This window comes from Homo sapiens, chromosome 18, assembly GCF_000001405.40.
Source record: "Homo sapiens chromosome 18, GRCh38.p14 Primary Assembly".
Classification (NCBI taxonomy): domain Eukaryota; kingdom Metazoa; phylum Chordata; class Mammalia; order Primates; family Hominidae; genus Homo; species Homo sapiens.
The window spans coordinates 6,299,594-6,315,403 of record NC_000018.10 but is presented as its reverse complement, the minus strand read 5'-3'; the positions used below and the strand labels follow the sequence as shown (position 1 = coordinate 6,315,403).

The 15,810-nt window shown below is 37.5% G+C and overlaps 1 protein-coding gene across 30 annotated transcripts in view; it reads left to right on the top strand.

Annotated features, from left to right (window-relative positions):
* Positions 1-15,810, top strand: part of L3MBTL4 (L3MBTL histone methyl-lysine binding protein 4) — a 460,543-nt gene that overhangs the window by 99,856 nt on the left and 344,877 nt on the right. For all 30 annotated transcript variants that reach the window (NR_158610.2, NR_158609.2, NR_158611.2 and 27 more), the window contains exons 2-4: positions 3,348-3,406; positions 3,748-3,850; positions 13,447-13,501. Coding sequence is in view for 24 of the 30 variants with exons in the window: in NM_001365765.2 (NP_001352694.1) it covers positions 3,779-3,850; positions 13,447-13,501 (127 nt within the window). In the remaining 6 variants the exon portion in view is untranslated. The remainder of the gene's footprint in view (positions 1-3,347; positions 3,407-3,747; positions 3,851-13,446; positions 13,502-15,810) is intronic.

Below are 15,810 nucleotides of genomic sequence, written 5' to 3'. Positions count from 1 at the left end.
AATACAATTAAGAAGGATCAATTATTCATGCATAAGTTATCAAAATGCATTCATTTGTAATCATTTATTAATTTATTCAAACATTATGAATTATTAACATCGAGTATCAACTGGATGAATAAATTCTAGGCTGGCAGTATCTTTGAAATAGTGGGAAATCAGTTCAGTGATCAGAAATTTGTATTCGATATTTTGGTGATAAATTCATTTAAGATCTGTGCAGTGTCCTAGAACCAGCAGAAATGTTCTTTCACTGTGCATGTCGTTAGACATAGTGTCCCTCCTGTGAACACCCAGGCCACTCTGTAATTTTTTAATGGCATGTATTACATTTCTTATTCATTTATGTATATTTCTTACCTATATGGTACCAATATGATTTATTGTTTAAACTGGGATATTTTGGGGGAGTGAAAGCAGTGCTGTTAATCCTTATGCCAGGATGAGTGGCAGAAGACAGACGTACCTTGGGTTATCCAGGACATGTGGCTGCTATACTTATCTCCCTTTAGCGGGTGTGTGATTAATCAGCTTCATATTCCTCAAGGTACCTGTGACTATATTGGTGGTTAATAGATGATCATTAAAATGTTTTTGAAAGAATTACCAAATAGCACCTTGACATAGACAGACAGTGAATTATTTTAGTTATTTATAGACTCCTTCAATTTGAAGTATTCAGATGCTTTCTAAGTATCAATCTAATTTATCTCCTTAGTATTTGGCAACATGCAGACAGATAATTCTACTATGAAGGGAAATTAAACTCATTTAGAGGATTAAATTGAAAAATTAGTACACTATTTTCAATTTTTATACAGAAATACAAATCATTTATATGTAGTTATCTATGTTGTTTTTTAAATCTAAAACACTATTTAGAAGCTTCTCTAATTAAAATCACTGAACATCACGTTGTCTATGGTAGGTGGTGCTCGGGCATTGTCACAAAGCCAGAGGACACCGGGCACAGCTCAGTCTAGTTGGTATATACCTTTACTTTCCCTGGATAATGTGTTTCTTTGATGTGTTTTATAATTTGACATTATTCTTTTTTTAACTCTAAAAACTTTATATATTTTTTCAAAGCTCAACAAGGAGACATGTGGCTGATGTGACATTTGGGGCTTCCTGGGAGTAGGCCATATATCATGGACAGTCAGAGTAATCCATGTATTTTGATACCATGCCAAGGACATCAAGTTAGGTTTATTTCAAAAGAAATGTCCTATTCGGTTGAGTAGAATATGCTCTTTGCATTGACATTATAAAGGATTATACAAAATCTCTCTTTAAGTCTGTTTTTCTGTGTGTTAGACTATCTATCTATCTATCTATCTATCTATCTATCTATCTATCTATCTATCATCTGCCATCCATCTGTATAACATTCATCTCCTATGTATTTAATGGTCTCTTGTATTTGATTCCTTTTTTGTCTGGCAGCAAAATCTTACATGGATTGTTTGGTGACTTTTATATTTTTGCTTTATTATTTCTAAATTCAGAGGAAATTCATTATTACCAAATTGTATGTTGAAATTTCTCCTCAGTGTAAAAACTTTCATTTTTTTTTCCTGATATAAAATAATGTGAATTCAGGCTTTCTTGCTGTTTTAAACAAATCAAGGTTATTGAGATAATTGCAGGGATTATCAAGGCAGATCATTTTTGATGGTGAGGAGAAAAATGCCAGTAGCCAGATGATTTCAGTTTGACAAGTCATGGGGTATTATTTGTCGTGAAAGTCAGGCCAGCTTTGGCAGTGCTTGTGTCTTGTGCAATAATACTTCGCTACAGGCATCAAGTCTATGCTGTTCATTTGCATAGATGTTCAGAGTATTACCAGAAGCTAGGCATGAAACATTGTATTTACATTCTACAAAATGAATGTAATGTTATTGAATTTAGTACATAAGTGCCTGTCTTAAGGACATAAATATCATCTGACTAGAAGCAAAAGGATATGTGGAAAAGAAGTGTTTTTTTGTTTATTTTTTGTTTTGTATATTAAAGAAAAAGGGAAAGGAATTAACTTTGAAAACAGTGCTCACTCTAGTCATACAGCATTCTAAAGGATAATGTATGGATCGAGAACTAATATTCACTGGATTTAAGGGCTTGAGGCTTCTCTGTAATTCAGAGAGACATGTTTATGTAGTTGGAGTCAATAAACACATATTGAGAGACTTCTGTGAGCCAGGTAATATCTAGACAGCGGAAAATAAGGATCAGTAATTCACAGTCCTTGTCATCGGGATGGTTACAGCCTCATAAAGGGAGGCATATCTGCAAACAAAAACTACAATAAAGGTATGCACAAGAAATGCAATGTAGAAAAGACACACTTGGTTTACTTGGAGCAGGAGGTAGGCAAGGAAGACCTTTCTGAAGGCTGTGAAGTCTCTTTTAGTGGGGTCAGAAAGGACGAGTTCAAATTAGATAAGTTGAAAAAGGGAGGGCAGGCAATGGGGAAGGTGTTCAGAGGTTGAGGGACCAGCAGAAGTATGGAGTGGAGAAGCAGCAGGAACCTTGCTTTGCAAAGAACTTTAAGACTTTTGGATTGACTGCAACATAAAATTGGAATGATCAGAGTTAATAGGAGTAGAGGAAGAAGGTAAATTCAATAAATGTTTAGTAAATTAAATATCAACAAAACCTGATGACAATATGTACGGTGTGATATAAAGGATGAAATGATGGAAACTCCTAGTTCTCTGGCTCAGACATTAGCCCAGAAGTAGTATTGTTTGAATGAGAAAAAGATGCATTTTCTCCTGGGATGATGCAGGCCAGTGGCAGGTGAACCGTGGGTGTAGAGCCCATGGTGGATTTCAGCCTCCACTTGCCCCTTGGCTTGGTGCTCTTGGGTGGTGTACAGTCTGAACAACTGTAAGAGGAAGCTCTGGGCAAATGGGTGGCCAGTTATCAGTGCAAAGAGGAGGAGAGCCTAGAACTGGGAGGCAGTGTGGAGGGAGATGAGCTCAGTTGCAAATATGTTACATTTACCATATTTGGAGTGTCGTTGTTCAGGTGGAAATATCAATAAAGAAGTTGGATATATCATCGTAAAGCACTGGGGACTATAGATGATTTAGGGCTATTAAAAGTTTTAAAAAATTATATTTCAATTGTTAACATTATTTCAAAGTGAATGACTTCTGAATTATAGCTCCAGCGGAACTCGTTTGGTATTGATGGTTGGTTCTCCAAAACGGTTGGCCTGCCCTGTAAAAAATCTCATTTCAAATAACTTTTCAAAGAATGTCTACCACTGTTTATGAATATACAGAAGAATGATCATGATTAATTGGATTGGTGAAATTTTTTCTTATTTTCTGTTTCAGATTGCTATGCTATGCCTTGTATGACTAAGACCTCTTACCAAGAATACGTGTCAGACCATGTGAGTACAGAAGCTGTGCAGGCTGATTGCAGTGAATCCTAATTGGTTAGGTCAGCTAAGCAAAAAAGCAAACATTTTATCCCAGATAAGACCAAAAGCAATAATATCTATTTTCCCCATGATATAAATTCTAGATGAGGTAGTAAACGCATTGCCCTCCCCCTTGTCTTATTATTATATTAAGTACTATAAAACCAATTGCAAAGTTTTTGTCAACTTATCAGGTTATTTATAGTAACCAACTATGAGAAGTATAATTGAAAGCATTTTCTTGTTTGCTTCTGTAATTCTGAAGGGGTCACACCCCCATCCCCAACTTCTTATGTAACCCTGTTTTACAGAAAACCACTGCCAAGGAGTGCGGGGGTGGCAATGAAACAGCCCAACAGGAAAAGGAAGCTTAATATGGATTCCAAAGAGCGTTTGGATCAGGACGGACGCTTGGTAAGATGTCCATCCCTGGACCCTTCCTCACAGTGTGTGATCGCTACCAAAATGCACCATGGAATAGTAGAGTTCACATAACCACACTCAGGGGCTTTTCAGTCACTTGAAACGATGTGGCTTCTGCTTGAGCTTTATGTGTAGGGGTATAGAATATAAGTGTTCTTAAAGTCTGATATATATTTTAAAAGGTGATCTTAACTTTAAAGGTGAAAGGAGACCTTTTCTTTTACAAAGGTGGAGGTAATCAATCATTCTCAAGTAAGAGAACGGAAGCTGTAAACTGCATGGGGTTACATTAGGGTTCTCCAGAGAAACAGGACCCCCTAGGATGACCGTATGTGTATATGTGTGTGATATTTTTGTGTTTGTGTACACACACACACAGAGCGAGAGAGAGCTAGCAAGCGAGAGAGAGGGTGAGAGAGAGAGAGACTTATCTTAAAAAGAGGAATTGATTGAGGCAGGTTGTGGGGGCTGACACGTCTGAAATATGCAGGGCAGCCTGATAGGCAGGAGGCCCAGGGAGGAGTTGGTGCTGCAGTCTTGAGTCCAGGTCAGTCTGCAGGCAGAATTCCTTCTTCCTTGGGGGACCTGTTTTTTCTCTTAAGGCCTTCAACTGATTAAATGAGACCCACCCTCATTACAGAGTGATCTACTTTGATCGAAGCCTGCTGATTTGAATATTAATCATATCTAAAAACATACCTTCACAGCAACATCTAGATACTTAGAAGGTATAATGTTCACTATGCCTGTAGTCACCATGCCTGTTCTGTTTCCTTATGACAGCTTTATGTATTCCTGCAAATTTAAAAGTTAGCAGAATGACCAGAAGACCTCCATGGTGATTATTTTTGGGGATGGTGGGCCATTACAGCATTCTCATCTGTGACCCTTCATTGGTTCTTAGCATGTATTTGGATGTGGATTTTGGGGTCTTCGTGTGGTTTGTGGTTATACATTTACACATTGCCGTTGCTGAAGTGACATCATGTAATACATTTTCTTTTGGTTCAGTTCCAGGTTAGGTGTGGTTTGATGAACTCCAGACATTACATGAGACATCTCAAAGAATGATCTGGTTTGAGGTTGGTTTCAAGATGTTCAGAATAGGTCTGTGCCAAGCTCTAGAGCCATTCCTTCAGGATTAGCCTCACTGGGCAATGGGGTGATTAACATTGGGCCAGGGGCCAGTTCCCTGGGTCCAGATTGGTTGCTTTTCTTAGATCAGTTCCAGGAGAGTTTAGAGCTCTAAATGTATAAGGGAAGAACTTTCTATTTAAGAGGTGTCTTGGACCAGACTTGGGCAGGCCTGCATCTGTCTTGGCTTAGGTGAAGATGTCATTCTTTGTGTTCTGCTGTGTCGTGTCCTCTGAGGAATCAGAGCACGAGGAGACTCAGGATTTGATGTGTTCAGAGTTATTCTGGGTACTTCTCCACATGTGGTCCCTGGACCAGCAGCATCAGCATCACCTGGAGGTTTGTTAGAAATGCAGATTCCTGGGCCCTAGTCCAGATCTTCTGAATCAGCTACTCTAGGGGTGGGGCCCAGCAATCTGTTTTAACAATCCAGGTGATTCTGAAGCCCACTCATGTTTGAGAACCATTGTCCTAGGGAAGTGGCTAGATGCATCTTACCGCTAAGCATGTTACAGTTAATCAATATTTTTCTTAAATTTTTTTGTTTAACATTTGAGACCACCTTCCCCCATCCACATGTATTTTATATTAATTGTCAGTATCATTTCTCTTTAAGCTGCTGAGATTGTTACCCCCCTATCTTAGTACTCGGTTATCTTACTCTACAATCTGAGTATTTAACCGTTTGCCTCTTCTGCATTAGCACAAATCCCAATTTCCTCTTAAAGACCAACTCAGTTTCTAACTTAATCCTGATGTGTTTACCATTATTTCTACCCCACATTGGGACTTTCCCTTTATTGGACTCCAGAAGTGCTTAACACTTAGATATGCTTTTAGTGCAGGGCTTGCATAGCTAGATTTTCAAAAATATCTGTTAAATGATGTTCCTGGTGCTTAATGACATCTCCATGCAAATGAATTTTTTCAATCATTAGTAACAAAATAATATTTTAAAGGGCCATATTCTTAGTCTACCTTTTGAGATGTTTGGGACATATCATTATTTTAAAGCATGTTCACACATAATTGAAAAGATGCACATTTAGTCCACGTTGCACTGTCAGTTTGGGGCTCATTGCCAGTAACAATGTTCATTTTCATTAGTCAGATTTAACAGTTTAATACAGTAGGCTGTATTCACACCTGGGGCTGCATTCACTGTGGAAAGAAGGGTTGAGTCATGCTTGAATTTTGCTAGACTCCTTGAAATATTGGTAACATCCTTTATTTTGTGTATTACCCTTCTGGTTTACAAGCGACGTTTCTAGTCAACTAAATAACATCCCATTGGCAGATCATGCACATGAAACATCAAGCAAATGCACAGTTGGGTGTTTCGGAACATTTTCTTCTGAGAGAGTAATTTCATACCTTGGATATCTAATAATTTTAGATGATAATATTAATATCTGTCAGTGAATGTCTTTCTAGACTAATATTTTCTATGTATTTCTAGATAGAATGTAAAAAATATTTTCTTATGCTTTTCAGAACGTAGGCATATGGTTAAAAAATAAAACAGTACAGACAGGCAGTAAAGTAAGAATTAAATTATCCACCGTATCCCCTCACACATACACTAAACCCCTAAATATTTTCCTAACCGTGTGACCACTGTGTACAGTTTCTCGTATGTCTACATAAGAAAAAAAAAGACAGCTAAAAATTCCAAACCTTTTATGCACATATACACATACATACACACATCCCAAATGGGCGCACATTCTGCTCGTTGTTCTGCTTCTTGCTTTTTTTGCACTTAATTATGAATGTCTTGGAGATACAGGTCTTATTCTTTTCAGTGCTGCATAGTATTTCATTTTATGAATGTACCATAATTTATTTTAACAGTGCCCTACTGTGAACATTTACATTATTTTAATTTTTATGGTTATACACAATGTTATATCCAATGTTCTTATTCATATATCCTTTTTATACGTGAATACTTTTGCAGTTCATTCATAGGTACTATCACTGCAGTGAAATTATTGTACCAAAGGATATGCTCGTAAATTTTGATAAACCACTAGGTATCATCCTCCAAAGAGATCACCCTAGTTTATCCTCTCCCTAACAGCATCTGAGAGAGTGCCTCTTTTCCTTGGGATTTGTTATATGTTTTACATCTTTGCTTCTACCGTATGGGTAAACCTCTGTTTATGATCTGGTCCCTGTAGTGCTGCTGCAGACTTGAAGAGGGTTTTTCTCTGTCCCTTTAGACTCCTTGACGTATTTTGTCTTTTCACAACTTCCAACACAAAGATAAGTGTCATTTTTGGTGCCCTTTACTAGATTTTTCTGCTCACCAGCTTGCTTTAGAACTGACTAGCAAAGTAGGCACGTGGTGATTGGGGAAATGAAGTCTGTTTTTTTTCAGGGTGATTTCATTGATGTCTAGTGTGTATGTAAGCGTTCTGCGCACAAAACCCCAAAATAATATACAGGCTGTGAAATTTCAAATTTCCTACATCAAAATGCAAGTTTCACAAAAGAAAAAGGAAATTTTGTTTGAATATACAAAATGAATATACAAAAATGAAATATATGATCTCTGTGTATATAAAATATTTGATACTGAAAAAATGTTAATTCCCATTCTCCCTCTCCCTGTGAACCTCTTAACATCAATGGATCTTTATCTAAATAGTGAGTTATGAACTTTGAGAGATAGAAATATGAGACATTTTTCATTCTCAAAAGGATCTTAGACTATTGCTGAATAAAGGAAAACTAACTTATGTAGAGTAATGGAAAACAACTAAGTACATATGTAGCCCATTTGTGCTCTAAGGTATGGTCACCCTTCAGAGAAAGGTAGAGTCATCGGGAGCTTGAGTCTGACCTTGAAGGATGAAGAATATCTAAGATATTTACCTTGAATGCATTGTTATTCTGTTGTAACAAACAGCTTATAAATCCAACCTGGTAAATCTAATTGGAGAGAATATAACTTTTTTTTTTTTTTTTTTGAGACGGAGTCTTGCTCTGTCACCAGGCTGGAGTGCAGTGGCGCAATCTCGGCTCACTGCAATCTCCGTCTCCCAGGTTCAAGCGATTCTCTTGCCTCAGCCTCCCGAGTAGCTGGGACTACAGGTGCGCACCACCACGTTCAGCTCATTTTTTTTTTTGTATTTTTAATAGAAATGGGGTTTCACCATGTTGGCCAGCATGGTCTCAATCTCTTGACCTTGTGATCCGCCTGCCTCGGCCTCCCAAAGTGCTGGGAATACAGGTGTGAGCCACTGTGTCTGGCCATATAACTTTTTAATATATTAACATCTAGATGCTCTCTAACCTTGAGAGGTAAGAAAGTTGAGGGGTAAGAGTGGGAATTATCTGGGCCCCTTAAGGAGGCAGCATGAGCAAAGGTATGGGGTTGGAAGAGAAGGTGACGTGTGTGATATATGGCTGGACCTTAATGACTTATCTGATTCGAGCAGATGTTGCTATTAGCAGTATAGTAGGTGAGCATTGGATGGGGTTGGGGCATGGGTCAGGAGATTCAGGTTTTATTCTTTAGCTGTGCTGCTTATTAGCTGTGTGGCAAAAGACAAGTCACTTCACTGGGCTGGGCTCAGCTTCTTTGTCTGTAGAACAACAGTCTTAGATTGCAAGAACTTTATGGGTCTTTCCATTTCAGTAAGTATAAGGTTTGCTGTGCAATTAGATTGCAGGGTGACTGGGGTAGGTCTGGCTGGTCACACTTGGTGAGGCTTGATGGCCAAGCAGAGAAAGTTGTACTTGAGATGGTGGCCACTGGCCTTTAAAGAATGACATCAAAGGCCATGGTTGAACTCAACTTTTGCAGAGGGTAATGCAATCTTTCTGTAATATCCTTAAATAGATACTGAGAAAATGTTTGGGGTGAGTTTATTTTGGTTTCTATTTTTAAGTAATAGTTAATTCTTTACATTTTGTTGCCTCATAGAAGACTGATGCCAGTTTACAACAGTCAGTAAAATTCATGTATTTATAAGGCTTTGTTATATTTTTTGCTTTTTGTTTTTTGTATGTGTCTTAGCAAACACTTTAGAGAGATTTCATTTGGAGACTGTAGCTATATTATCAAGTATTTGAACAAAATGGAAGTATTTCATTCTCCCTGAGTGTGTCTGAATTCCAGTAGAGTGATGGAGAAAAGTCCCACAAATTTCTTTACTTTTATCCAATAGGCAAATTCTATTTATCTTCAGTTTATATCCCACATTGGATCAGAGCAAAAAAGAAGTTGAAAAGTGGACTTGAACTAGCAGGTGAAATTCAAATAGCAGTTTGTCACTGGGGTTATTAAATAGGATTTCACTGTTTTCTACAGTCCATGAAACCAATGTGTATCACCCTCTGGGGCACAGATAGCAGGTTCTTATGGAACAAGAACAGCAGGGTTCTCAGAAATCCTTGAGTGTTCAGGAGTCTTTGGTCTGACAGCAAAGGAGAGCAAAGGGGTATTATCTGGCAGTTCCAAGGTGATGAATCAAAATTGCCAACCACAAATCAGTAGCTGAAAATCCTGTTTTGTTCCCTTGATTGGAATTCATAGACAGAGAAACGTAGACACTAATTAATTAGAAAACGTCACTGTGCCTTGTAGTAAAAGCATGTGATGCGTCCAGTGCCAGCAGGAGGGAACAGAACATTAAGCCTTTTTGGTTATTTTCCCACTTCATAATCCTGTCTTCCAAAATGATGGATTTTAACCTGGTGAGTGGAAATGTACCATAGCAAAGACTTATTTTATGTTCCTTAAACCATTATCTCCCTGTTTTTCAGAACGCTATTTTTTTCTGGAACTTTATTTTCAGTTTTCAGAATTAAAGTTTGAAACCTGAGAAATCGCAGTAATGGTTTTATTTTTCGCATTTTGTATTGATTTCCTTTAGTGGTCTGTCTGCAAGGATAAGATAAAGCGCTAATTTTTTCTTTTGTTTTTTAAAATTCACTCTCTGTTCATTAATAGCAGTGTAGATTTATTACCTTTATGAAATAATTAATTAGCTAGACAGAAGAAAGAATGTTAAAGCTAGCAGGAACTTTGGAGAACATTTAGTCCAATTTCTTTATTTTAACAGATGAGAAAAATCAGGTCTAGAGAATGTAGGTCATTTGTTCAAAGTTAAATAGCTTTTAGTGGTGGGTTGAGATTTGACCTTAGGTCACCTAGCCCTAAATTCAGCATTTTCCCTGCTCTACCATATGATACTAAATACTTTTCCATTTGCAAAATTGTTTAAACATAGGTCAGTATGTTATAGATATATATGTTTATTCTGATATACACAATATAATCTTTCGTGTGTATATGTGTATGTTTACCTGTCTATAACCTTGATCCACCTAAAGAACGTACAGATGTTGGAAGCTTAGGCAATTTAAATCCAAAGTGAGAGGTAATGTTGTTTTTGTGTGGAATATTTTTTCTTTCTAGGCAGAATTTCAGTAGCAAATACAGAAGTGTGAACCAAACACTCACTGAGCGACAGATAGCATATTATATATTTCTTTTTATTTTTGAATGACACAGTGATTATAAAAATGCTTCAGTAGCTGTAGTGTGAACATAATCAACTCTCGAATGCTGTTTCTTTTTACTGTTTTAGGTTTTGCAGTAGAAGGGAGTCTCTTTGTTTTGAATTACATATGTAAATTTCCTGTGTATTGAGTGAATGAACAGGGGTGGAACTGGGGTAAAGTGCTACCATGGAAAATTAGACCCAAGACAGGAGTTCATCGTCTCACTTGCAGTAGAACAGGGTAGATATGATTGCGTGACTGTTTCCACTCCCACTGCATGCCCTGCTAAAAGGTGGTGGCTTTGCCACTCACAGTGAGGGCCGTATACTTTTGGCAGTAGCATCTGCTGGGAGCTTGTTGGAATTTGTAATCTAAGGCTCTACCCTAGAGCCACTGAATCAAGGTCTGCATTTTAGTAAGATTCCCAGATGATTCAAATGCATGTTAAGAAGCATTGGCTTATAGTACATTTTAGCAGAATGCTACTTTGTTAATTGCACGAAGATATCCATGATAACTTTGGATGTGAAATCTACCAGGCAGAAAAGCACTCTTCTTGAACCTTTCATTCTTGCCTTCATGCATCAAATATTTGTCGACCTAGACTAGATACCAGACTATGTTTTGGGGATGAAAGACAATTAAGACACTGATACATTTTGTTACTATACAAATTATCTTTTATACCTTAAAACCATAGACTTGAAAAAGGAACTAAAAAAAGGTAGGAAAATGAAATTAATAGTATTTATTTCATCAGTTAAAAACTAGTTTGCTTTCATTAAAATATTAGTATACATGACTCATTTTTGAAAACCTGGTTTAGAGCTTTGTGATACCACTATGTGCAGTCTTTTTTTTTTGTTTTTTTTTTTTTTTGAGATGGAGTTTAGCTCTTGTTGCCCACGCTGGAGTGCAACGGCGTGATCTCAGCTCGCTGCAACCTCCGCCTTCCGGGTTCAAGCGATTCTCCTGTCTCAGCCTCCTGAGTAGCTGGGATTACAGGTGCCCGCCACTACGCCCGGCTAATTTTTGGTATTTATAGTAGAGACAGGGTTTCAGTATGTTGGCCAGGCTGGTCTCGAACTCCTGACCTCAGGTGATCCTCCCGCGTCAGCCTTCCAAATGTGCAGTCTATTTTTTAGATTTGGTTTTTATGGTTGTCAAAGCTAGGGTGACCAAGCCTCCTCATTTGCCTAGGACTCAGGAGTTTCCCCAGATGTGGGGCTTTTCAAAGTGCTATGAACAGGTCTGCCCCATGCAGACTGGGACTGACAGCCACACTAGCCATAACTTAAAAAGATCTATCCCAAAACTATATAAGAATAAATTGAAGAAATATTTTTTGATCAAACTTACTAATTCATAACACTCATTTTTCAGCAAAAGTTTTTGTATAAATCAGCTGCTAAATTTTCACATTCTCTGATGATAATTAGTTGTTCTTGGAAATAATGAAAACTATTACATATTGGCCAGGCGCAGTGGTGCATGCCTGTAATCCCAGCACTTTGGGAGGCCGAGGTGGGCAGATCACTTGAGGTCAGGAGTTTGAGACCAGCCTGGCCAATATAGTGAAACCCCATCATTACTAAAAATACAAAAATTAGCCGAGTGTGGTGGTGTGCACCTGTAATCCTAGCTGGAGGCTGAGGCAGGAGAATCACTTGAACCTGGGAGGTGGTGGTTGCAGTGAGCCGAGATTGTGCCACTGAACTACAGCCTGGGTGACAGAGCAAGACTTCATCTCAAAAACAGACAAAAAAACCCCAAAAAACTATTGTATATTTATGTTTCCAAAAATAAGTTCAAAGCCTGCTTGAAACCCTTCATTTAAAAGATTTTAAAATTGGGAAATTCCGTTCCCAATTTTTAAGTACATAATTATTACAATTTTTTTTTTGAGACAGAATCTCACTCTGCCACCCAGCCAGGAGTGCAGAGGCACAATCTTGGCTCACTGCAACCTCCGCCTCCCAGATTCAAGCAGTTCTTCAGCCTCAGCCTCCTGAGTAGCTGGGGTTTCAGGCACATGCCACCACGTCCAGCTTATTTTTTCTTTTTTGTATTTTTAGTAGAGACGGATTTTCACCATGTTGGCCAGGTTGATTTCGAACTCCTTTCCTCGTGATCCACCTACCTTGGCCTCCCAAAGTGCTGGGATTACAGGTGTGAGCCACTGTGGCTGGCCACAAATTTTTAATAGGTGGAATACATTTTGATGGCCACAAAATGACATAAAGAAGACACATATCTGGATACCCACTTTCAAAATGCTCTTTGTTATTGTGTCTTTCAAAAGAGAAAGCCACTTTCCTAGTCTTTGTTGAATGGTAAATGTTCCTTCAAGAGTTGCAGGAAGAGCATGCCTTGCTTGCGCCATGGGGTGGGGCTGCACCATCTTGCTTGCTGCGTGTGCTTGTATTGTTCATCATACACAATTCATGGTTTCTTTTCAGGAATTTTTGAAGTCGCTTGTCCATTCTATGAAGGTCAGTTTGGTTAAAATTAAAGCATTTTAACTGAGTACTTACAAACTGTAGTAGACCCAGATAGGCTGAAAGCAAAAGTAGGATGGAGGGCTTGGCTTCGGTGAGGACCAAGCCTCTTCTGTCAGCCACTCCTGTGCGACTGTCAGGCCCAGGGATCCACTCAGGGAAGGTACCTGTGTCAACCTCAATATTAACTGTTATCAAAGCTTCCTGTCTCTTTTATTTTAGCCAGAAGCAATACTTTTAATGGATTCCTTCCACGTCCAAATGGATCATGTGTACCCCTCCTGGGCACCCACCGGAAGACTCTGGGTATTGTGTGCGTTGTCCGCCTCAGTGACGAGGATCTTCATAACTTTCCTTCCTGCAAAAAGGAACATTAGTTTTCAGTGTTTCCAACAATTATCCAGCAATACCATCTAAACACCATTTTCTGTATTCTAGGAGCAAGCTGAAGAGGAAAAGAAGCCCAAGGATAGCACAACCCCTTTGAGTCACGGTAATTATCACCAATATTTACAGTGGTAGTTCACAGTGAACAAATTTTAAGTGAATTTTTATTAGATTGCTTAGTTGTTTTAGGTTTATTAATTAAAATATGTGATAATAATATCTACCATTTATTCAGGGTATTGCATACTCTTCTGCAGACTTTATCAGTGTCATCTAAGGTTTTCAAATATATGCTTCAAAAACATCTGAAGCTCTTGTTATCTCATTTATTTGCCTTTTAAAAAGGCTTTAAATAAAACAACTTATTTGTAAATTTTCTCTGTGAACAAGAAAATAAAGAGATGCTATTTAGTTTTTTAATAATCCTTTGTGTGAGCTTTTCCCAGACTGATTTGATCTTCTAATGATTGCATTGTATTGAAGTCATGTTGTAGAGGAGATTGTGCATTTTCTCTAAAATGAATACTCCTCATTATGGTTATTAATACATCAATAGGTTTTAGATAATAGCCTTTTCATATTCAACTAATTCTCTGATGCTTTAAATTTAAACCAACAGATGAAGATGCGATTTTCTGGAAATATACATTCCACATATTTTATGATTATTGCTACACAAGGAGACAGCTGTTACTAAATTTTCTATCAAATGTAGTAGAATGTCCAACAACATTTGTGTTATTATCTACGGAAAGGAAGCATATAAATATGATAATGGTCCTCTAATTAACTTTTAAAGTACCTTAACATTTTGTTGAGGAAGCTTTTGTGTTTATTTTTAAATAATGGAAACACCTAAAAATACCTTGAAAAAAATGACAAATAAGAATTGAGATTTTTAAAGTCCATTTTCTATGGCTTAGTCTTGGGATGAAATATTGAGAATTTGTGATTTTTCTCCCTAAATGATTTTAAAAATAAAAGCTATGTTTTTTTATTTTAAACAAATGGGTGGTGCTTTAAATTTCTTTTCTTCTCTTGCCGCCTCCCCAGGCCTGTCATGTTCTTTGCTGAAAAATCAAAACAGAATGCAGTAGTTTGATAATTATATAACTTGATGTTCAGCTCTATCAAAATATACCTCAGTTATGTAACACTGGGATTTTAGAAATGAATTGGACTGTACCTGGCCCTAACAGCAGGGGGTTTTTAAAACAATTTTTTTCTTCTCAGAGAGAGGTTGTGATTTATGATGTTGTTGTATCTCCCCTGCAGCTATATTTTCACACTAATGTAAATTGTTTTAGGTTGTCTTATTCTGTGGTCGAAACATTTACTCTAGAAAAAGAAAAGCAGACTGAGGCCAACAATGTAAAAATATTCAGTCCTTCAAACTAACGTTTTTTACTGATTTAGTATTTACGGTTTCATTACATCCAGGTATATATTTATCTCAAATAGCTTTTTGGTTTTATTTATTTGTTCTTGTTTTTAACAAGTCTGGGAGCGTCCAGTTGGAAGCTTTTCAGTTTTAACAGAAAGTAACTTTTTGCTGTGTTTTTTCATTGTTGGACTTGTTTTATAGTTAATGGTCCATTGTCAAAAGTTCGCACCGTGGCTGACTCTTCTTTAAATCTGATAATATATTGTTCCTGTTTTCCCCAGCTGTAGAACATAACAAATGTTTAGGAAAAGGTTGAGATTTGGTTTGTGTATGTAGATACTATGAACTGCTAGTTGTCGTGCAAATTGGATTATTTGAGGGCTTTTTGAGGTAATTTATATTTTTACCATTTTTAGTAGGACAAAGGAACTAATTTCCAAATTGCTTACTGTGCTAGCATTATAATGGGGATTTTTCTCTATGAAAATAGTTTAGTTTTTTATTGAGGATGCTTATAAAACAAAATAGATTTAGTCTCTTACCTCATGTCTTAGAAATAGTAACAAAAAAAATACTAAACAAAAACCCCACACAGAACTGTGTATGTACACATAGTATATTTATATGTGAACAGAAAATTGTATTGAAAAATAGGTCAGGCGTGGTGGCTCATGCCCGTAATGCTAGCACTTTGGGAGACCAAGGCGGGTGGATCTCTTGAGCTTGGGAGTTCAAGACCAGCCCTGGCAACATGGTGAAACCCCATCTCTACCACAAATACAAAAAAAATAGCCGGGTCTGGTGGTGTGCACCTGTAGTCCCAGCTACTTGTGGGGCTGAGGCAAGAGGATAGCTTGAACTCAGAAGGTCGAGGCTGTAGTGAGCCAAGATCTTGTCCCTGCACTCCAGCCTGGGGGACAAAGTGAGACCCTGTATATAAAAAAAATATATCTATATTGCAAAATAAACCTTAATTCTTAGTAGTGATTTTATAACAAGCATGTGTTTCTTTGGAAATCATTGTTAAAACA